Consider the following 22,629-nt stretch of genomic DNA (forward strand, 5'->3'; position numbering starts at 1 on the left):
GAAAGTAGGGAGAGATGGGGACAAGGGCTGAAAAACTTTCTGCTGGGTACTATGCTCAGTATCCGAGTGACAGGATCAACAGAATACCAAACCTCCACATCATGCAATACACCCTTATAATAAGCTTGCATGTATATGCCCTGAATCTAAAATAAAAGTGGAAATTTTTAAAACTTGTACATATTTATTATTTACATGTTGTTTTGAAATAAATATGTATACAATGTGGAATGGCTAAATTGAGCTAGTTAACATATTATGATCTCTCATATTTATCATTTTTTGGTGCTGAGAATACTTCAAAAGTACTCTCAACAATTTTCAAAAATTAAGTATAGTCACCAGGCTAGATCTCTTGAACTTGTTTCTGCTACCTGACTGAAATTTTATATTATTGACCAACATTTTCCCAGCCCCTGGGACAACCATTGTACCTTCTTTCATGAAGCCCACTGTTTCAGACTCCACATTTAAGTGAGATTGTGCAATATATTTGTCTCTGTGTGCCTGGTTTATTTCACTTAATATAATTTCCTCCAGATTCATCTATGTTGTTGCAAATGACAGGATTTCCTTATTTTTAAAGGCTGAATAGTATTCCTTTGTGTATACATGCCACACTTACTTTATCCATTCATCCATTGATGGACACATAGATTGTTTCCCTATCTTGGCTGTTCAGAATAGTGCTGCAATGAACATGGGAGTGCAGATATCTCTTTAACATACTGATTTCATTTTTTATATATAAATGATCTTTTATGTGAAATTTTTGGAATGTGAAAGAAAAGAAGGCAGAAAAGGGCAGGAGAACAAAATTGATTCCTGCATTAGGAAATTACTGGTTTTTTCTCAAGGGAGAGCAGATAGTCATATTTATATGTTGCCTGGAGATTACATGACGACAGAAAAGGTGCTATGTGCACATTTATTCTTAATGTTGTTCAATGTGCTTTGACCTGCCTGCTAATGTTTTAAAATGTGGTTTTCAACATTAAGCTTGTATTATTGCAGATGTTTGCTCCTGTTTTCTCTGACACGGTTGACCCTCTGAGAAACAAAACCTACAAAGATCATTTATTTATTCATTTTCATTCAATTATTTATTCAACAAATGTGTTTGAACATGTACTATTTGCAGTCAATGGGCTTTTAAAGTTCCAGAACTGCACTCCCCACACAGCAGCAGCCACTTTAACCACAATTCCCAGATCACAGTCTCCATTTTCCTATGAGACTGAGCATCAAGTGATTTGGTTTGAATGAGCCACAGTGAATACTGCTGCCTCCTTGCACAACTCCACTAGCTAAGCTAGCATATTGCTTTTCATTTTATATTTAGCTCATCTTCTGTCCTAAATTTAACAATTACTTCAATTTAAAGAAACATGGTAACAAAACTATTTGCAAAGCCAACTACACTTATTTTTCATTTGCTGTTATTTTGATATAGCATTTAAATCTTGTGCACTGACACAAACTGCTGTTGAAAATGGAAGAGTTTAGGGAAACACACTGGGAGATCAGACAGTAGAGCCAGGGTAGCTAAAAATAATCCTGATCCCTTTATGGTTAACCCTATTCAACAAGCTGAAATTTATAATTATTTGATTTTAACTTTAATCCATTTCTGCTCAAGGTAAAGAAAATCAGCTCAAGGTAAAGAAGAGTAAAAATTATCTCTAGAAAAAATATACAATTAAACAGTATGTATTAGGTAACCACAATGCAAATAACTGTGCTATTTAGATGGATAAAAGGAAACACTGTATAATGTTCCTTAAATTTAAATGGGATAGATAAAACATGAAGCATTGAGTTATGTAGAACTCAATTCTACATAACTTTATTCTATGTAAATGTGAGCAAAAAAGAAAAAAATGTATGGAGGCTGTTAAAAAGGTAAAATTAAAGCAGGTCTTGTGGGAAGAAGATAAATTGGGAGTTGGCTCTTGAAAGAAGTGATGTATTTGAACACAAATAGGGACAGTTAAGGGAACCACTGAGGTGGTAATTAGCATCAAATGAGGTCAGTAGTCCATCAGTTCTTTTGGTTGAAGCAGAATCTTGGTTAAGAATTAGTGACAGTAAGTGAAACAGAAAGTTATGGGGTACTAAGAAATACCGGATTGACACAAAGCATAATACTACCCTTGAATAGAAAAAACAGCATAGCGGTGTCAAAGTCATCATCCTAGTAAAAGTTTACTCTTAAAGTTTCACCCACAAGGATATCTATAGAGGTGCTGATTTTCCAGCTGGAGCAGCTATTGATTTGCAAGTACATTCCAATCTTTTTCCAAACTGTCCCAGTAGTGGATATGAAGTGAGAGAGGCAAAGGAAAAGATGTCTTAGCTTTTTAAAAGTAATAAGAAACGGACAAAAGACCAAACACCGCATGTTCTCACTCATAGGTGGGAATTGAACAGTGAGAACGCAGGCACACAGGAAGGGGAACATCACACACCGGAGACTGTTGTGGGGTGGGGGGAGGGGGGAGGGACAGCATTAGGAGATATATCTAATGCTAAATGACCAGTTAATGGGTGCAGCACACCAACATGGCACATGTATACATATATAACAAACCTGCACGTTGTGCACATGTACCCTAAAACTTAAAGCATAATAATAAAAAAAGTAATAAGAAACGTTGATGCCTTATAGAGAATAATTATCTCACCTCATATTATCAGTTGATTTTATTGAAATAGTCACATTATATTTGCATTAAAAGACAGTGTAAGGAACTTGTACAACAATTACAAATAGCAATTGCTTTACTCCCAGTAACATTTTAGTGATGAGTCAAAATTCTCATCAGAAATATCCAGTCTGAAATACCATAGAACTTGTAGACAGTCTTCTATGTAACAAATATTCATTTTTCACTGTGAAGAAAATCATAGAAACTAACCATCAATATTATCAAACAGCAAAATAAAGTTACAGTCTGTACATTCTTAGCTGAGCGTACAGGTCAGATATTTTCAGCCATTTACAGACTACTTAAAGGTTATTACTGCTACTATAAAACAGGAAACTATATACCATGAAAAAAATTACTAATTGAATTTCTGTACAGATGAGCTGCATAAACCTTTGCCTCAGATGTTGATCATCTTAATATTTTCCTTGAACTTAATGATGGAGGCTCCATTCAGTGTATTTTATGTAACTACTTTAACATTGTAGAACATATTACTATGAGCAAAAAATTAGTATTAATAAATCAATTCTCAGCCATAAATATGTTTATGCTATAAGTTTATAAAATGTACAGCACACTAGATTGAGTTCAGTGGTAATAAGGGCATAAATTTGATATAAAACATCTTGGTGATAGATAAATTCTTTCATAATTTCACTACACTATAAAAATTCCCTGTCATTGATATTTTGTCTGGTTATATCTGGCTATTTTGCCCCAATATGAGACAAACGTGATTTAAAAACAGATTGTGAAGAAAAAGTACTTTTCTACAGATGATTGTTTAACAGTTGTGAAGTTGGAGAAAGTACATATTCTGACATATAGGATGACCTGAATCAACTAACCTCATCTTTGCATAATCCTGGCTATTCTTGCTTATTTCTTTATTTGATATGAACTTTTGAACTGCCCTGTCTAATTAAATATAAATTTATCTAAATTTTTATTGGGTCAGCATTAAACTTAAAAATAAACTCAATCACAATGGACATATTAATGATGTTAAATCTTTTCATTAATAAAACATAGTATGCCTTTCTATTTTTTCGATATTCTGTCTTAGGTTGCGTTCCCCCAGTAGACAGACACTGAGATGGAAATTTGCATACCGAAGGTGGATTGAGGATTGTTTATCTGAAAAAAACATCTATGGTGGAGTAAGAAAAATCACGACTGGGCTATGGAGAAAGCTGAACTGGGATGCAGAACAGAAGCTTCAGCCTCACTCGTGGGGAGCTCTGGCGCTAAAAAAACTCATCGAAGATTTCCCAAATTGGAACAAGGCCTCTGTACTCCTGCATTGACCAGTCATGGTATAAAAGCTTCAATTCACCTAAGCGGGGGTTATAACAGTGGATGAGTCAGCTGCCTGAGGCTATGGAGAATGCTCAGGGAGGGACTCAGCTGTGATTAGTTGACAGGCAACACTCCTGGCAGCTGGGAGAATGAGTGCCTTACTCTTGCCAGAGGGGTCTGGTATACACACCATATCATCCACTACTAACCATGTTTATGTTGCTAAGATTCACTTGCTTCATATAATAAGTGTACCCCATCTAGGAACATCTTCTCTAGAATTCTGGTCATCCTCTTGCCTGGAAAAACTTATATGAGGAAGGTGACTAGGACTAACTAAAGCCCCTGCTGTTATAATTATTCTTGGAGCTGCAAGTAATATTCATTATTCCCCTTCTGCACTAAGATTCTGTATTCTCCTCAACCACAGCTAGCACCTCTCCTGGTTTAAGTGATGATGGGATGATCCAGACCATCATCCCTAAGGGGTTTGAGCCCCTGGTCTTCATCACCTTCTTAGTCCATGGCTTCTGCATTTTTATATTTAGCATAAATATAAGCAAGGGACTATCGAGAGAGACTCACTGGATCACCTAGGTGACAAACATTCTTCCCTATACCCATTGTGTGACTGAAGACCTACCTCCTCCTGATGGCCAGGACACATTTCCTTGCCTGCTGCTGTTCTCCTAGCCCAGGGAATCTGAAGTGACAAGGTGGCAGGCATAAACAAGTCTGACAGAACTATTGTTATGTTCCCTGGCAAAAGCATTGTTTCTCTGGGAGCTCAGATCTCAGACATGCCTGAAGTTGTGGGGAAGAGCAGCACAAGTTCCTCAAGTGGGTTCCTGGGAATGATAGTAAACAGGGATACTTCTGCTTCATGGATCCAGGTGTCTCCTATCTATGGGGAGTACATCATGACATAAAAATTGTTGATTTCTACACTATGGCCTAGAGCATGGCACTCCATCCTCCTAGGGCATTATCTCCACGCTGGTGACGCTGGTGATACAACTGAGCCATTGCATAACTCAGTCAATCTTGTAACTTCTAGGTGGTATATTATATAACCAATTCCCACTCTTGCAACTCCTCTGCCTAGCTATTTGTACTTGATTCTGGATTCAACTTTTCTATCCTACGATGGATTGCTAGTGAGCCGATCTAACCTTGACCCAGCTCATGGTGGGCCGTTCAAGCTGCATAGTGGCCTAATCTCCCATGGACAAGCACTCCATGTCTGCCAGGAACCATTAGCATACCAGGAGCTGTGAATGGTGCATCGGTATCTCTTATGGATGTTATATGTATCTAAGTTGTGATGCTTTTATTGGGGTTTGCTATAAACTCCACATGGCAACTTTTCTCACCACAGATGCCTCTAATACTGTAGGATCTGCTGGGTCATATGGGCCAGATAGCAGAGCTAATTGCAGGAGAGTCTAAAACTTCTGTAGAGTCCTTTTCTTCTGTAAGCTACACTCAAAGCTGGAAGCTGTCTGTGTTACTTGGCAGATAAGTATTCTACCAAAGTGTGGAATGAGCTACCTCTCTAATTTAAAGAGGTTTACCAGGCATTGTGCTTTTCTCTTAGTGGTAGGGTCCGGAAAGTGTAATAATTTGTATTTATGTTGCAGAGGATGTCCTAACGTTTTCCAGATCAATCAATTGCTACAAACTTCACTAATGTGATCAGTCTCTGAACCTCAATAGGTTTTTCTCTCACTTTCTGGGGCACATATATATTACCCATGACTTGAATATACTTGTGACTTCTTGCTCATCCAGATTTACATGAGATCATTGGACCATATTAGAGGATGGAAGAGTTAATATTGCCCTAAGGCAAACATGTAAATATGTACTGTTGTCTATCCTATTTGAACTGACATTCCCACATAATATGGTTGGCAGGAGTTTTTCTGGATTTTCCTAATGTATCTACTCTAGCATGTTTATTTCTCTTAGTCTTCGATCCCATGTTGTATCATCTATGGAGCTCTGTCATTTTAAATTTACTCATTGTGGACTATAGCTTTTTGCAAAATGCCTATCAAACAGTATAGAAGTGTTAACTCATATGGTCCTTGCTAGGGTATAAAATCCCTTAACAGAGAAAAGTATTCCTGAGTCAATAAACTCTCTCATCCAACTTTTTATTGTCCTCCTTGAACCAGAATTCTCAGGATCCAGTCAAAAACTACTTTATCGGATCTTGCCAGTATATCTTGGCTAGCTCCTTCAGATCTTTCAATGTTAGCCCCTTTTGTCCCATGGAAAGCTCAGAACTTTTCCATATGAGTTATGCACTTTCACCCTAGTCATTAGTCTGGTGGCAAGGAGAGGCAGAAGATAAGTACAGGAGGGGAGAAGGGTACCTGGCCTTGTAAGACAGAGTCTCTGCATTGTATTTAAGCTAGTGTGAAGTTCTGGCATTTAACAATGAGGAGCAAGACACTTCAGCAGACTCAGAGGATGCAGGGAGATAAGGAGTTTCAACAGCCTTAAAAGCATCAACCCATTTTTCCTATCCCAAGGCTCAAGTTCCCTCTACTTTCCAAACAAGGTCAGAGCACAGAAAACTTGCCAGATTGAGAACTTAACCTTCTCTGGAGTTTTGCCACCGTTTAAAATTAAGTCCTATGCATCACCTTCAGTCTTCTGTCCTTGGCTGCAAGAAATAAGCATCCTTTCGTATGCTAAAAAGGAGTCCTTCTGACTTTTATATTTTACATTAAATTGGTGATTAATCACTTCATATTTCATCATCTTTCTCTAAAGCATAGCTTATATTCACCAATCATAAGATTCTATGGTACTTATAATTACTACTTACTCTGAACCTCTCTAGATTCTAAAATATTGCATCTGCCAATTAATTCCTTTCCTGGTTTTCCATGCCAGGTCACCACTGGTGAAAGTTTTAACAACTGCATCACCAGAGTGTGCTAGAGCCTATCTGTACTCCATCTACCACCAGTGATGTTACCTACCATTTACTGATGATTCAGCATTCCAATTTAGGATCTGTTTTCTTGATCCTCTCTTGGGACTAATTGTCTTAGGTCTGGTGCTCTAAGAAAGACTCTCACGTGCAGATTTGCATACAGGAAGTTTATGAGGGCATACTCTCATAAAACACCACCTGGGAGGGAATGCAAGCTGCAGATCTGGCAGATAAAGAAGTTGAATTGAGATGCAGTTACAACAGAGGCCTTAGCTGATTATACCAGGAGCTCAGAAGCTAAGCTGGCTCTTCACAGATATAACAAATTGGGGGAAGCGATTAAGCTTGTGTCCTGCCTTATTGACCAATCATTTCATGTTGTCTTCTCAGAATGTAATTGGCTTTTTAAACAGCAATACTTGATGTCAGACAACAATGAAGCCATAGTTAAAAATTGCCAACCAAATTAAAAGGAGAAAATGAAAATCTTTTGATATATTCAAAGCTGAGAAAAATTAATCCAATGTGCCCTTTTAAATATTTTTTCTTTTATCCCATTATCCCTTGAAAAGTTACCAAAAAACTTTCTTTGAAGGATGTACCAACATCAAGGAGAGAGGATGTTATGAGATTCCAACCCTAGAAAGCGTCAAAAGAAATTCCTAGGTATCAGATGAGCTACTACAGGTTCTAACCTGCAGTTCATATACACCGTTCCTCCAAGACCCCGGGAAAGAGTCATCTCACTCTTGGACACAAGAAGGACAAAAGTAAAACTTGAATAAACTGTCTGCTACCTGTAAATATCTAACATGCTTCATAAAGACCATTATTTGTTTATTTTAATGTAAAAGTAAAAGCAAATACCAGAAGAGAAAAATGCCCAGACACAGTGGCTCACACCTATATGTTGAAGGCCAAAAGAGTAAGGGTCGTGATCAACCCAGTATACCACTGGAGGCTGTATGAGTAAACAGCAAACTGTTCTCATAAATGCAGAATGTTGGCAGACGGACAAACTGCCTCTGCCACCCAGAAGGAATGCTGAGGGCAGTCACGACCCAGGCACAAGTGTTTCTTTTGATTAGGCACATCTGAAGCCTGTTAGCAATAATGTGAACCTGTGATCAGTCGAGCAGCTGACCAATCATTACCTCCTCCTCCCTGCTCTTTCTACCCAATAAATACAAAGGGCTGTGGAAGCTCAAGGTTGCTGCCTTTGCTTACTGGAAGCAGAGAGCCCTCTTCTTCCTCCCCTAGCCCCTTCCTTTAAAATAGTTACTTTTGTCTTAAGTTTTTATTTCTACATTCGTCCTCCTTCCTTCAGTCTCGTAATGACTGTCTCAAGCAGTATCAGTAGTAACTGTTGTAATGATAGTCTCAAGTAGTAACCATGGCAGTCAGCCACACCTGTAATTCCAGTTTTGGGGAGGCCAAGGTGGAAGGATCACTTGAAGCCAAGAGTTTAAGACAAGTCAGGACAACATAAGGAGACTCCATTTCTACAGAGAAAAAAAAAATTAAATTAGTGGTGCATGGTGGCCTGTGCCTGTGGTCCTAGCTACTTGAAAGACTGAGGTGGAAGAATCACTTGTTCAAGGCCAGAAGTTCAAGGTTAAAGTGAGCTATGATCGCACCACTGCACTCCAGCCTGGGCAACAAAGTGAGACACTATCTCAAAAAAAAAAAAAAAAAAAAAAAAAAAAAGAAAGAGAGAGTGATAAATGGTCAAAATGGTCAAAGGGCATAAATTAGGCTCACAAAATAGGATATCTGAATGTTTATTAAATATAAAATGTTAAAATTTGATTATGAAAGAAATACACATTTTAAAAAACAATGAGATGCCATTGGGGGCCTATTACTTTCAGAGATTAAAAAGATTGAAAAGAGCTCTGTGCAGGTAACAAGATATGGGCCTTCTCAAGTATTGTTGCTAAGTGTGCAAATTGTTTTAATAATCCTGGTGGGTAATTATTAACTTTAACAAGGTGCCAAACCCTTGAGCCAGTATTAGTCTCAGAAATATCCATGACAATTTTGTTTGCACTAGTAAGAAATTGAAAATAGCCTAAACAGCAAAAGGAGAGTTGAATAAATAAATTTCACTGTGGAATTAGAAAATGAAATACTATGTTGTTAATAACGAAGGTGTTGTAGAAAACTAACATCATGGTAACATTGGTACTATATTTTCAAGAGAGATAAAGCAGATTGTTAGGTAATGAGTAGTTTGTGAACCAATAATGCAAAGAGATTCTATTTTGCCTCCCCAACCCCACAGCTCAGGTTTTTCTTCTCCTTTGGGCAACTGCTTAAATTCAGAGGCAGCTACCAAAAGGAAACGTCTCTCTACCCCCTACTGTTTCTTCTGTGCAAAAGAATGTAAAATATGAGGCTTCTCTTTCGCATGTAGGCCTGAGAAGTTTTGACAAGAATGTGTATGCAGGGAGAAATGACTGGTGAAAGAATTTAGAAAGAATGTATGGGGACAAAAAGGAATCACATGAGCTGATTTAAATTCTTCTTGTGACAAGGGGTGTGTGCAAACATGAAGGAACTAGGGTTTTGTTTGTAAATGTTTATCGGTTTGGGAGAGGCAAAGATCACAGACTGTGATATTCTTGGGATAAACAGCTCAATATGTTGGTCCCAAGCGACACCATGTGGAATTGAGAAGAGGGCCATTCTCATCTAAACACCCATCGGAGCCCAGGTTTGGCGTTCTGAAGATCAGGGACTTCCATTTGTTTATAAGCTCATTTGATTGACAAGTATTTATTGAGCAACTACTTTATGATAGTCCCTGTTTTTGCTGTTGGTAATGTAAAAATGAAAAAGACACGTTTTTCTGTTCTTAAGGCAGTTACCGAGTTAAAAAAAAATAGTATGTAATCATCTTATATGGTACATGTATATTTATATAAAAATATGTTATAATGATAGTATATCTTAAATATCATAGTATGTTATACTATAAGAAAGAGTATAATACATTCAGTAATGAAAAATGCTGTAAAGAAAAATAAATCCAAGAGGGAATGGTGTGGTAGTGAAAGAACGCATCTAGCTGGGGTCGTCTACCTAATACAGAGAAATGTTAACTGAGATTTGAAGGAAGAGATAGCGTGAACCCTGCTCATACCTGGAGGAAAGCACGCTTGAGGGGAGAGCACTTGGCAGCTGGAGGAAATGCAGAAAGGCCTGGTGCTAGGGAGCACAATGTGGCTAGGGGAGAGCAGCACCAGACCAGTCAGTGGCCTGGTCCCAGGCGGAGGCATGGCTGGAAGGCCCTTCTATTCCCAGTAAAAGAACTAGGACATGATATCACTTAGGTTAAAAAATAAAATACAGTTATTCTGGCTGATTGGTGGTGAATAGAAGCAGGGAGACTGGCTAAGCTGCTATTGTTACAGTCCCAAGGTGGTAGTATATTGCACTAAAGCAATCAGAATTGACTTATAGGTTGCATTTGTGTCATGAAAGAGAGATGTCAATGATGACAGCATAGGTATTGACCTGGACCATCAGAAGAACAAAACATTGAGAGAACACCCATGACCTAGTCACAGGCATTTCATGAACAACTGTATCCCCATAGTGACTCTGAAACTCCCTAAATTGGACTTCAGACTCCAAGACATCCAATCAGAACCTAAGTAAAAGAAAAAAAATATGGCAGATGCATAATGATGATTTTTGATGATAGACTGATTTGTGAACTGTCATGAGGAACCTCCTTGAGGCTTTTAAAAACTGAGTTTTTGGAAGAGGGTGCTAAGTTCCAGCAATCTAGTACATAGACGGATAAATGGATTGATAGCTGAAAGGGAGAAAGATTATATAGAAAGAGGCAGAGAGAAATTGTGTGTGTGCATGAGTGGAGTCTCAAGAGAATATCAAAGTAAATATTTAATACAAGTCCCCATACACCTACTATGTACCCCAAAATTAAAAATTTTAAAAATTTTAGAAATAAATATAATTTTAAATTGAGGACTACCAAAAAAAGTGATGGTATCTGGTGTCTGAAAAATAGTAATTAGTTGGGATTCCTAAACTAAATGCCATTCTTGGTCATCAATCAAAAGATAAGGAGAATGAAAATTTGAAGGAAAGGAGAGGGATGTTCTCTACAGAAACACTTAAAAATGGAATTACCTATGGGTAAAAGCTTTATGATTATAGGAAACCATATTTCTTCACTAGTTGTAAGTTAGAGTTTTAAACAGCACAACACTATTTAAGACCATGCGTGTTTACTTTTTCTCTCTTTGGAGGAAATTGCAACAAAACAAAATATTCCTTCTTCATAAACTCTGAGATTTTGTGATATTTTACAGAAGGCTATGAGAATTGGTTGAGTGAAAATATACTATTCAGAGATTTTAAAGTCTCAAAAATGATTGTTCCTTTGGGAAAAGTACCTCCTAAATGAACCACCACTTAAGTGAAAACAGAAAATGCCATTGTTAACATTCTAACAGACTCACTCCTCTAGACATGTGCTCAAGTGTTGTTCGCACATACTCAGCAAGCTCTCTGTGGCCATGTACCTGCCTTGTTTCCTCCCTTGGCATGTGCTTGAGCTATAAAGTCATCATTTAAAATTAAAAACCCTGGGTATGATGCGCATAATAGCTTCTTTGTTTCTAGGCTTACCAGGTGAGTGAAAGTAGAACTTCTAAGAGTAAAACCAAAGCATAATATTGATTACTTCGTATGCAAACTTTTTTTAATTTTAAGCAAAATCTACATGGATTGTCAGGGAAAGTATTACAGACTTTGATGACCTATGGGTAGAAGATCAATCAGAGACAAGGATATTTAAATGACAGCAAACCAATAGTGGGTAGGTTTTTTTGTTTTCTCAGTGAGGAGTAATGGAGACAGGAGCAAAGATAAAAGAAAAAAGAAGACAATGTCTTAAATTTTAAAATGAGACCTTGGACTTGCAGTCACACGATACTATTTCCCTTTGTTCCAGATATTTATTGCTGCATAACCACCACCCCAAAATTTAGTGGGATTAAAACATAACCAACAAGCAGTTGGTTACCTTTGCCATTTTGTAGGTCTGGAATTTGAATAAGGCACAGTAGAATAGCTAATCTTTTCTCCATAATATCTGAGTTCTCAACTAAGGTGGCTTGAATAGGTTAAGATGGCTGGGACAGCTTTATTGGGTGGTATGTTTGGAGTCTTTGTTCCAGTCTGTTGTGCGGGTTCATCAATTTTCCACTTTGTGTCTGCTAATACTGCAGTGTCTAAGATGACTTTGTTTCTCGTTCTTGTGTGTGTTTGTTGTTTTTCTTGAGACAGGGTCTCACTCTGTCACCCAGGCTGGAGCACAGTGGGACAATCGCGGCTCACTGCAGCCTCCACCTTCTGGGCTCAGGTGATCCTTGCACCTCAGCCTCCCAAGTAGATGGGACCACAGGCAAGCACCACCACATCTGGCTAATTTTTTGTAGAGACAGGGTCTCCTTATGTTGCCTAGGCTGGTCTTGAACTCATGGGCTCAAACAGTCCTCCCATCTCAGCCTCCCAAAGTGTGGGGATTACAGGCATGAGCCACTGCACGCAGCCTTAAGATGACTTCTTTACTCACCTAGGTTGGGTTACTGGAACAACTGGGACTGTGTGTGCATCTCTCTCCATGTGGCCTGTCAACATAGCTAGCTTTGGTCATCTTCACAGCAAGGTAGCCTCAGCATAGTAGGACTTGTTAAAGAGAGGCTGTTTTCTCCTAAGAACAAACATTCTAGGAACACACTGACTAAGCCTTAGAAATTCTGGAATATCACTTCAACAATAGTCTATTGATCAACTATATCATTAAAAACTGGTCAAATTCAAGGGAATCCACATCTTGAAAGAAGAGTAAAATATGCAAGCATATTTAATATACCATACCTCTCCTTATAGTATAATCTCATATAATTTGGAAAGTGTTATAATATTCCTTAATTTTAGAAAAATTTAAAGGTGGGAAAAAAAGGTGTGGCATAATAAAATAAAACGATTATCTTCCATTTTAAGGACTGTCTTACTCTGGTAGTCCATATTGAAATAAGAATAAATATAATTATTGGTAAATTTGATTGTCTAGTCAATAACACGTTTACTTTATGAGAAATATAAATAATATGAAATACAAAATGAAATATATAAACATGGCATATTTTGTTACATATAGAAATGTAAAGATTTTTTTGTAAAGTAATTGTGACCTCCCAACTTTCTGTTTTCCCTCATTCAAAACATTCTGGGCCTACATAGCAAAAGGCTTTAAAATGTCTTCTATTAAAATGTTATCGAAATGTTCTGTGATTAAAGTAGCATCTCAAGTGTGTTCTAATTGAACTGCATCTGTGAATTCTGCAATTTGGCTCCTATGAACCTTGACAACATGTAAAAGCTTGCATAGAAATTATATTTATTGAGCTTTTAGTCTGTGCTAGAAAATATTTTAAACACTTATTACCTATTAATTCATTTAAATCTCCAAATGGCTCTAGGAAATGAATAGTAGTATTATTTCAATTTAACAAATAAGTTATCTAAAGCAAAGACCTTGCCCAAGCTCAGAAGCCAACGAGAAGTAGAGCTGGGATTCAAATCCACACAGCTAGCTTTATTGAGTGTTTTAATCACTATAATACACTGTATGAGCTGCCTGAGTATTCTTAAAAGTAACAGTGGAGTTAAAATCACTTTATTTAATCTCTCTCTTTCTATGACTTATTCTTCTGCATTTAAAATCTCTGAGGAACAAAATTTTTACTTTGTCACTGTGACTTAAAATCCTTCCAATCACAGATAGAAAATGTAAACTGGGGAAATAAAATATGGAGTGCATTTTGTATTAACTGTCCTAGTATTAAGACAGACTAGAACACATTTTGATCATCTGTAATTGGAGCCAATTGACTTGGATCTTGCACTGAAATCCTGCTGAGCATCACAGACACACTTAGCCTAAATATTATTACTTAGATTTAATTTCTCCAAATTATGGCTTTTATGGGCCTTAAAAGCCCCATAAACAAGTGTCAATGATTGTAGACACATACAATTTCTGTTGACATACACAACAAAATGTGTGGGTCACTGTACAAAGCTCAAAGTAAAAGTTGACTTTTATTACCTCTGTACTAATAACAGTTACCATTAGTAGACCATGCCTATAGAAGGACAGTTATTAAATGGATGAGCTTTAGAAAAAATTAAATCAAATTTAATTCTATCAGTTCTAGATAACAAAGCATGGGCCAGATAGCATAACTGTCAGCATCAATGTGGGCCTTTAAGTAGGTACTAAATTACATGTCATTTCTCCTTCAGAGAAAACAGAAGAAAAGTTGCAACAGAGTGAAAAATCAGGAAAACCTCATCGAGATAGATATTCTGCCAGAGACAAAACGAAACCTCATCGAGATAGATATTCTGCCAGAGAAAAATGAGACATCAGATATGTGTGATCACAGGTCATAGACTCAGTGAAGGTGAACAATTCTCAGACTTGGGAATTTTGAGACCAGCAGGCAGGTCCTATATCAGCACATTGGCTGTAGCCATTGGTCACAGGGAATAAAGCAAGCATGAGGGTTTCCCGAGTCCAGAGGCTCTTGTAATTGCTCTAGAGCTATGTGCTTCATAGGGTGAGTGTGACATCTGAGAGATGTCAGGTATGGTGACAACAAATTTAGTGGAAGCCTTAGCACAAGGTCATACTGTTTTAGAAGAAGCCTAATCTTAATCCTCTTTAAACTAGCAGTTTGGGTTTCTGGTGAGTTATTTAGCTTGGGCAGAAAACCAGATCCAAACATCTAAGAACTTTTCCTTCTGGTTCAAAGAACTTTTGGATAAAATCACCCTCTAACAACCTCTTCTGAGGTAGGAATTTTCTTTTTTCTCTATCTTGTGGCTTCAGCCATCTTGCCGTGTGCCTTCTTCTAGGGCTCCAGAACTTTTTTATCCAAGTCTTAGCCTACTCACGATTGAAGAGTAAATAGGAGTTGAAACTTGTCTGTTACAAATTCAGCTTATACTGGTCTCCTGGAAGCTGGAGGCTCCTTTGGGAACATAAGTGGGTAGAATGCATATATTTCACTTTGTGCCTTTTATTTTCGGAGTTTAAAAAAAAATCCCTTACTTTTTATACTGCCTCATACTAGCCTCTCTAAGATAACTTAAACCATTTTCTTTACCCTTTTATTGAAGCCAATGGGGCATTGCAAATTATCATTGTACTACTGAGTCAGTAATAGCCATAGAGTTTTTTAAAAGCATTATTAAAGGAACTAATCTGAATGCACATCAACTACTTTTCTCATTTGAATAATAGAGCCACGTAATTTTTCAAACTGTATTAAAAATGCCCAGTTTAAATTTCAGAATATAGTTCCATTTGTGAGGCTCTAATGTGGGTTTTTTTTGGTTTTGTTTTGTTTTGTTTTTGCAGCAAGGGAGCGAGGGTTTGTTAATTTTTGTTTTTATGATGTTTCCAAAATAAATTACACAAGCGAATGATTAATAAATTCCAAATCAAGCTTTTAAATCTATGTGCTGATAAAACTGTCTTAAAATTTATATCTCAAAGACTATAGTGTTCTATGAAATCTATCCAGAATAGAGGAAACATAATCTCTTTTCTCCATTACTCCAACAATGTCCAAACAGAAGAAGGCAGTAATAACTTTTTTTTTTTTTTTTTTTGAGACAGAGTCTCGCTCTGTCACCAGGCTGGAGTGCAGTGGCGTGATCTCAGCTCACTGCAACCTCTGCCTCTGAGGTTCCAGTGATTCTCCTGCCTCAGCCTCCCGAGTAGCTGAGACTACAGGCATGTGCCACCACACCCAGCCAATTTTTGTATTTTTAGTAGAGACAGCATTTCACCATGTTGGCCAGGATTGTCTCAATCTCTTGACCTCGTGATCCGCCCACCTCGGCCTCCCAAAGTGCTGGGATTACAGGCCTGAGCCACCGCGCCTGGCCAATAATAACATTTTTAAGCTCAATTTAGATGAGTGACATTATGCTGTGTGCTATAAATATCTAATCTTCCAAACAACCCTGAAATGAAGTTATTACTATTTGTACTTTTCCCTACTTTGTATTCATCTGCTTATCATCACTACATATCCTCTGTTCTGGAGACACCAGGTTGATAGTGAATGTTTTCAGCCTTCCTCATGATATGACCAGAATATAAATCTGGTAATCACTAATCAAATGTATTTTATAAGTTAAAACTTGCTAGATAGAAAACCCAATAAAAAGCTATTTGTAATGTTCAGTAATGACATAATGAGATGTAAACCTCTGGGAGGGAGAAGAAAAGAAATAAATGTTTGGCCAAAGAATTATAGAGGCAGCAGTACCTGGACATGAGGGGCTTGTGAAAAAGAGAAGTCTTGATGAATCGACTTTTTTATGAATGGTGATAATGTTAACAGAAATCGTGTAGAGAGAAGATGATGGTGAATCTCTCTAGACATATTGGTTTAACGTTCTATGAAACATGCAGGTGGAAACGCCTGACTTTTTTTGGGGTAGAGGGGTGAAATGAAAGCACTGTGGGACCCCTAAAGGAGGATCAGGGAAGAAAAAAGGGACGAACAAAAAAGAGGGAGGAGAGAGCAGATGTAAAGGAGAGGGAAGTTTATGTCTCCTACTTTATAATGCACAAGTAAAAGTTTTTCACCTTTTTGGTACCATCATATAATCTGTTGTTCAAAAAGAAAAAAAGTGATGAGACTTTACACTCACCAAATAGGATGCTCTTTTCAACAAATCAAGCAAACAAACAAAACTTGTGTCTGACAACCACAGCCAAGAGAAGCAGAGGCCACTACCCATCACTAACTTTAATTACTTCTAGGATAGCCTAAAAAGAAAAAAAGAAGAAAGGAAGAGACAGGGAGAGAAAGGAAGGAAGGAAGTTAGATAGTTGGCAGATTAGATCTGTTGGTTATTGTGGAAGTAACGATAGGGCTTAGAAAAAAGCACATCATTTTCATACTTTTTCTGATATGTGTATCTAATTTTTTAGTATATGAAAATTTATTTTCTCATGTTTTCTACTAATTGATATTCATTATGATACAGAAATAGGCAAGGCTACTTGATTACAATCAAAAATCAATTTTTTTCAGTTTTGAAATAGTTTCCTGTTCTTTTTTCAACTAAAAACTATTTTAAACTCTTCACTTATACAGTACTTGTAAGGTAAGTTCCCTTGATTGCTGCCTAGAAGTTTCCCACCGAGAAGTATAAACATATGCTTCTACTTAAAATAGAAGCAGCCCTATCTTCACCTCCTTCATTTTTCTTAAGATCTTTTATCATTAGAAATGTCCTTGGAATCAGAAATTTTAGCAGAACAGTATTGTACTTTCCCATTGAAAAAAAAAAGATTTTTATTGCTTTCCTTTAATTACCAGCTTCTGGAACGATTTTGAACATCCCTCTGAAATATTAAAAATTTGAGATTGTTGAACAACTATGAATATTCACCAAGCAGTCATTCGACCCCTTTGCACATTCCTAAGCAGAATATGATAAAGATCAGTCAATCCAATTCTGCAATTCCTTGTTTGAATTTTCAGATATAAGTTTAAGATTGATTTAGTCATAGCTTTCTTCTCACCTGAGATGGACTTTGGTAAATTCAATAGAAGAATGTAAGTATTCCTGTTTACTTATTTAATTTTTTTTGCCTTGAGTTTTTCTAATTGGCATGTATACCCCCTTTTAAAATTTCCCTCAACCTGACAATCAATTGCTATAGGACCAAGCCGGTGCAGTATGCTTCTCTTGCTGTTTAGCACAATACCTATATACAGTAGGAGCTTGATTGGTGCTCATGAAAGAAGGAAAGGAGAAGCAGGCATGCAGCTTGTTCTTAAGGAATTAGATTGAATTGGATTAACAAGTAGGCTGGAAGTAAATACCAAACAGTAACAACAAACGTTCCAAAGCTAAAAATATTTTATGACCAGCAAATAATTACAGCCTGAAAAATTATCTTTATTGCCATTTTTGCTATGATTGGTATCTTTAAAAGCCACGCTTATTAGCATGCAGGTTTACAATTATGCTCTGAGCCTGGTAATGCCCTGCCATTTTTACCTCTAGGGATTTATGTCTGATTCTTGTTCCATTAGTAAGCGTCTGTAGGACAGAATGACAGAGCCATTCGTGCTTTGCCAGCACATGATAATGATGATATTATTATTTTCACAGTCAGTTTGGTGATGGTTGTTTGAACCTCATCATGTCTAATAGAGGAAAAAATGAAAAAACTAATATTTGAAACAGTGTATTGTGTTTAGCATCATTATTGCCACTTTTATGGCAAGTGCTTTGACATTTAAGTGAGTTCCATTTACAATATCGCCACCATAATCTCCTCATTTTGTAATTGCTTCTGGATACCTATAAGGTTTAACTGCTGGTATTACTCTTCAATAAAAAAAAAAGAACTCATGCATTAGATTTATGGAAAGTTATCCTGGGGATTTTAGATCGTTATTTTAATGTTAGCAGAGCTCAATACAGCATAGGTCCTATTGTTAGTTGCTGTAGCCTGCATGAGTTATGTGGATTTCTTGGGCTGTACAGACATTGAGGCCAGTTGTGCTATGGGGGTAGCAACTCCCATCTTGGGATTGTAGAATAAATGTATAATAAGGTATTCTGAAGTGAGCAGCTTATTTGGCTGCTCCTCAGAGACCCTCTGACTCTGGGATGGATACAGGATGTCTGCCCCAGCACGCTTGTTTTCCTCGTCCCAACGCCTGACAGACAGCACCACTCAAGTGTGGGATTTTCACTAGTTGGCGTGATGTCAGCCAACTGGGGAATACATCTGAGAGGGCAGCATACTGAGACACTACTGCCTGACAGGTTTGTTTTCACGTGATGGATTGGTCAGGGGATCAACAAGGCAGAGATCAGATATGGTCTAAACATCCAGCTGTAGGATTTGGTGTTTAGGAAGAGGGGAAATTGCTTCTGTTTGGCCCATAGATTGGAACCCACTATAGAGATGGATTTTTGTTTTTTTCCCTTTCATGAACATTCTTTAATTAACATTATAATGGCTTCTGAGTAGCCTTGCCAAGCTTAGATCCTTTCTTCCAACTGAAATCATTCTGCTTCACCTTCTGTACCAAAAGCAAAGAAATATTTCCAAACCTCCACAGTGCAGTTTGGTCCTCCTGGAGATTTCTTCTTCATCTTTTGAATCTATCAATATTCCCCATGTCTAATGGAAGTATTACTATAACTTACAGAAAGCTGAGTTAGCTGTTACTTACTTTTTATTCAGACCACAAAACGTGAGTTCTGAGGACACCAAAAAGTAGGTGCTGAAGGCAGAAATCTGAATAGGTCAGATTTTTCTTCCTTTCATGATTATGCAGTGAGTCCTATAGAAAGAATTTTTCCTTGCAGTCTGGCTTCCCTCTATATGACAATCTGTCCACCAAATTCTGGATATAGGAATATTATGAATCATACAAGTTATGTAAATACATCTTTGCACCAAATGTTGAAAAACTAGATTTAACAAACAAATAGGAGAGGTATGTGATATGATTAAGCAAAAGAGTGTTCCTAAGTAAATAAAAATCAAGTAATTTTTGTTTAAAACAGAATAACCTATGCTACTGGGGAGCCTATACCATGATGAGTTTCAGTAAATCTAACTCCACATTCATTTACCTAACTTGTGCATTCTGTTGATTTCATCAAAAGCCATCTAGCAAGAGAAATAAGGTTGCCTGTTAGCACTTACTAATCTAACAATCTGGGGTTTTAAAAAGTTATTCCTGCTTCTCAGTTAATACTTCAAGATTTATAAGTATAATGGCTTTGATAATCCAGTCAATAATTCACATGTAGATAACAGTATAAAAAATTCTGCAACTACCCATTGAGACAAGAAATCTTCACATTTCAATAAATAACCAAGAAAAAACCCTGCAGCTTTCAGCTGCCAGCTTAGAGGAAGTTTCTGTTGAGGTTCTGAGGCCCTCAGACTACTCTCTCCTCTGTCTGTCCATTTCTATAGCAGCTTTGTTATGTTTTATGATGACAGTCTCACCCCCTTGAGACCAGCCATAAGAAAGGTACAATAGCAGCATTATTTGTATTGTTTGGTTTTGTATGAGATGCACATTGGGAAACCACTACTTCATGGAATAGCATTTGCAGGAGGTCTCCAGGGGGCAGCTCTTACCAATCTCGCTGGCTCAACCCAAGGTTGAATGACAATAAAGAATGGGAAAAATTAAAAGAAAAGGTACTTTAATTGAACCTGTATTTGTGGAAATGTGATACAGACCTAGAAAACACCTTTCTTAGTTCCTGGAATGAGAAAGACGGCTTCTCCAGGGACCTTGTACAGTGACAGCTGAATCTTTGCTGGCTAAAACAAATGCCCTCCATTAGCTAAAGATGTACTTCAAAAATACTTCTTTGAGAAAATGCTCATTCTCCCATTGACAAATAAAACAGAATAAGATAAAATAAAATAACAAAATAAAACAGACGAGACCAAAAACAAGAGATGGCAAACTTTCTCAGTCAAGGGCTTTGCAGGGCATATGGTCTCTGTGGCAACTACTCAGCACTGCCATTATAGTGTGAAAGGAGTCATGGAAAATAACATAATCAAATGTGCGTAGCTGTGTCCCAATAAAACCTTTTTTATAAAAGGAAGCTGAGTTTGGCCCAGGGAGCTGTATGCTGATCACTGATCTAAAGTATTTTGCAGTCTAGCTGCTTACTATAAAGTTGGAGAAAAGTCTGGAATAATGAAGTCGTTATCCAGCATGTCTAAAATTCAGATCTTTTAACATTCAGTTCTCTTGCTCTACAGTGCCACTGTCACAATGCTCTCATGCCAAACCTTGACTGCAAAGCTGAGATGTTAATATGGAACACCTGAGAGGGCTGGCACTTCAGCGTCCTTATTCCTCCAGAACCACACCACAAAAGTCACCTTCTCCCCAGACAGATTCTCTACAAAATGCCTTGCAGCCGAGGTGTGGTGGAAAGAATATTGTATTTGGAATAAAAAATTTTTGATTTTGCACCATCATGGTCTCATTCATGAGCTACGTGTACCTGGGCAAGACAGGCTGTTCATGGCTTTTCTTTTTCTTACTTCTAAGAGTCAATATTTAACTCCGTAGGAGACTTGTTAAGCTCAAGTGAGAAAATTTACCTAAATATCCTTTAGTGATGACAAAGGACTAAACAACTATGAGCTATGTCATTATATCGATTAAATACATGGATAAGTGAATGGCTATCTTCAGGTAAACTGTGATCGATGAATTATGTGGTGGGTTGTGATTGGCAAGCACATGAGTTCCATGCGTGCCTAAGCCAGTTGATTTTACTGTACTTCAAGGCCTCCAAATTATATCTCCTAGCCTTGACAGGCATACTTGTAAATATATTACAAAACTGTAATAAATTGCATATACATCAAATCATGAGAGTATCAGGATAGGATCCAAATTGTTTAAAAATCTACTAACATGACAGACTCTCTTGGGTTAAAGCATAAGCAGCTTTTTCATATTTGAAAGAATGACTGTCACTGTGTCTCAATTTGGGATGCAATACAAACTTATCTTAAATTCAAAGATCACCCATTGAACCAGATTATGTGGCAAATTGCTGGGGTAGGGCTGATAAAAAAAATTCCCTAATGTTTCTGGCTCCTGAAAGACTCAACCACTGGCTTCTCTAAAAGCAAGTGCAATCCAGGGCATGGATCTCTTCCTTAAGAGGTACTCTATGAGAATACTGTGGAGGAGAAAAACAAAAACAAAACAAAAAGCATTGCTAAATAATCTGTTTTGTCTTGTCTTGTCTTTGGTGCACAGTATTTTAGCACCATTCTAGAGTCTATTAATTTGTTTGCTATAATACAAAAGCTTTCTTAGAGCTACTCCACTTCTATCACTTACTTTAGTTCTACAACTCCAAAAAGACATAGGATCTAGTCTAATTTAAAAAGAAACTTTTTTTTTATTTGAAGAAATGTTTTTGCATATGGCTTCCAAAAGTATCTATGAGCTTCAAATAAATCTTTTGACCTAAACATTATTATGGGTCATTGTAATTCTGAGAGGCAGTCGACTGCCAGCTCAGACTCAATCAGTATTCATCTAGAGGCATATTCTACATGTAAAACCTTGTTAATGGTGGAGAAGCACTGGTTAGGAGAAAGGGGTGAGTGGAAGGCAGAAGCAGAAAAGATGCAGAAGACATTCCACATCCACCCAAGTACAGTGAGGTGTGTAAGACAGAACACAAATTATGGGAACCACATAGAACCACACCTAGTCCAGTCAAAAGAGCACAAACTGGGATTACAGAGACCTGGTCTATCCCAAATGTATTGCTAAGAACCTGGGTGCTTTTGTAAATCTCCATTTACTCACCTTTACTGGAGAGTTTAGTCCACATGCCAATCCTGCTTTTACTGTTTTATGGATTCATGATTCTATGGATTTTAATAGCATAGATTACAGAAAGTTCAGTAGGGAGATTCCCCTCTGCATATTATGATATGATAAAACCAAGTACTTAGGCTTTCTGACCAGAGTTCTGTCTTATAAGGTAGTTTCTTCTTTAACACTG

The 22,629-nt window shown here is 37.4% G+C and overlaps 1 long non-coding RNA gene across 2 annotated transcripts, besides 2 other annotated features; it reads left to right on the top strand.

Moving 5' to 3' along the window:
• Nucleotides 1-9,106: 9,106 nt before the first annotated feature.
• Nucleotides 9,107-21,067, top strand: LOC101927235 (uncharacterized). Of its 2 annotated transcripts, none has more exons than XR_245007.4 (3): nt 9,107-9,676; nt 14,308-14,468; nt 20,852-21,067. It is a non-coding gene; the product is annotated as an uncharacterized LOC101927235 (long non-coding RNA). The 2 variants fall into 2 exon arrangements; XR_940113.3 differs by having other exon boundaries at nt 9,107-9,499.
• Nucleotides 9,677-10,178: an enhancer, noted in NCBI's record as "H3K27ac hESC enhancer chr2:57928927-57929428 (GRCh37/hg19 assembly coordinates)". NCBI's record gives its function as "activates a minimal SCP1, AML or CMV promoter by ChIP-STARR-seq in naive H9 embryonic stem cells {active_cell/tissue: H9 hESC(naive)}" and the evidence as "EXISTENCE:reporter gene assay evidence [ECO:0000049][PMID:30033119]".
• Nucleotides 10,179-10,678: an enhancer, noted in NCBI's record as "H3K27ac hESC enhancer chr2:57929429-57929928 (GRCh37/hg19 assembly coordinates)". NCBI's record gives its function as "activates a minimal SCP1, AML or CMV promoter by ChIP-STARR-seq in naive H9 embryonic stem cells {active_cell/tissue: H9 hESC(naive)}" and the evidence as "EXISTENCE:reporter gene assay evidence [ECO:0000049][PMID:30033119]".
• Nucleotides 21,068-22,629: the final 1,562 nt, after the last annotated feature.

The sequence above is a fragment of the Homo sapiens genome, chromosome 2, assembly GCF_000001405.40.
Source record: "Homo sapiens chromosome 2, GRCh38.p14 Primary Assembly".
Taxonomy (NCBI): Eukaryota; Metazoa; Chordata; class Mammalia; order Primates; family Hominidae; genus Homo; species Homo sapiens.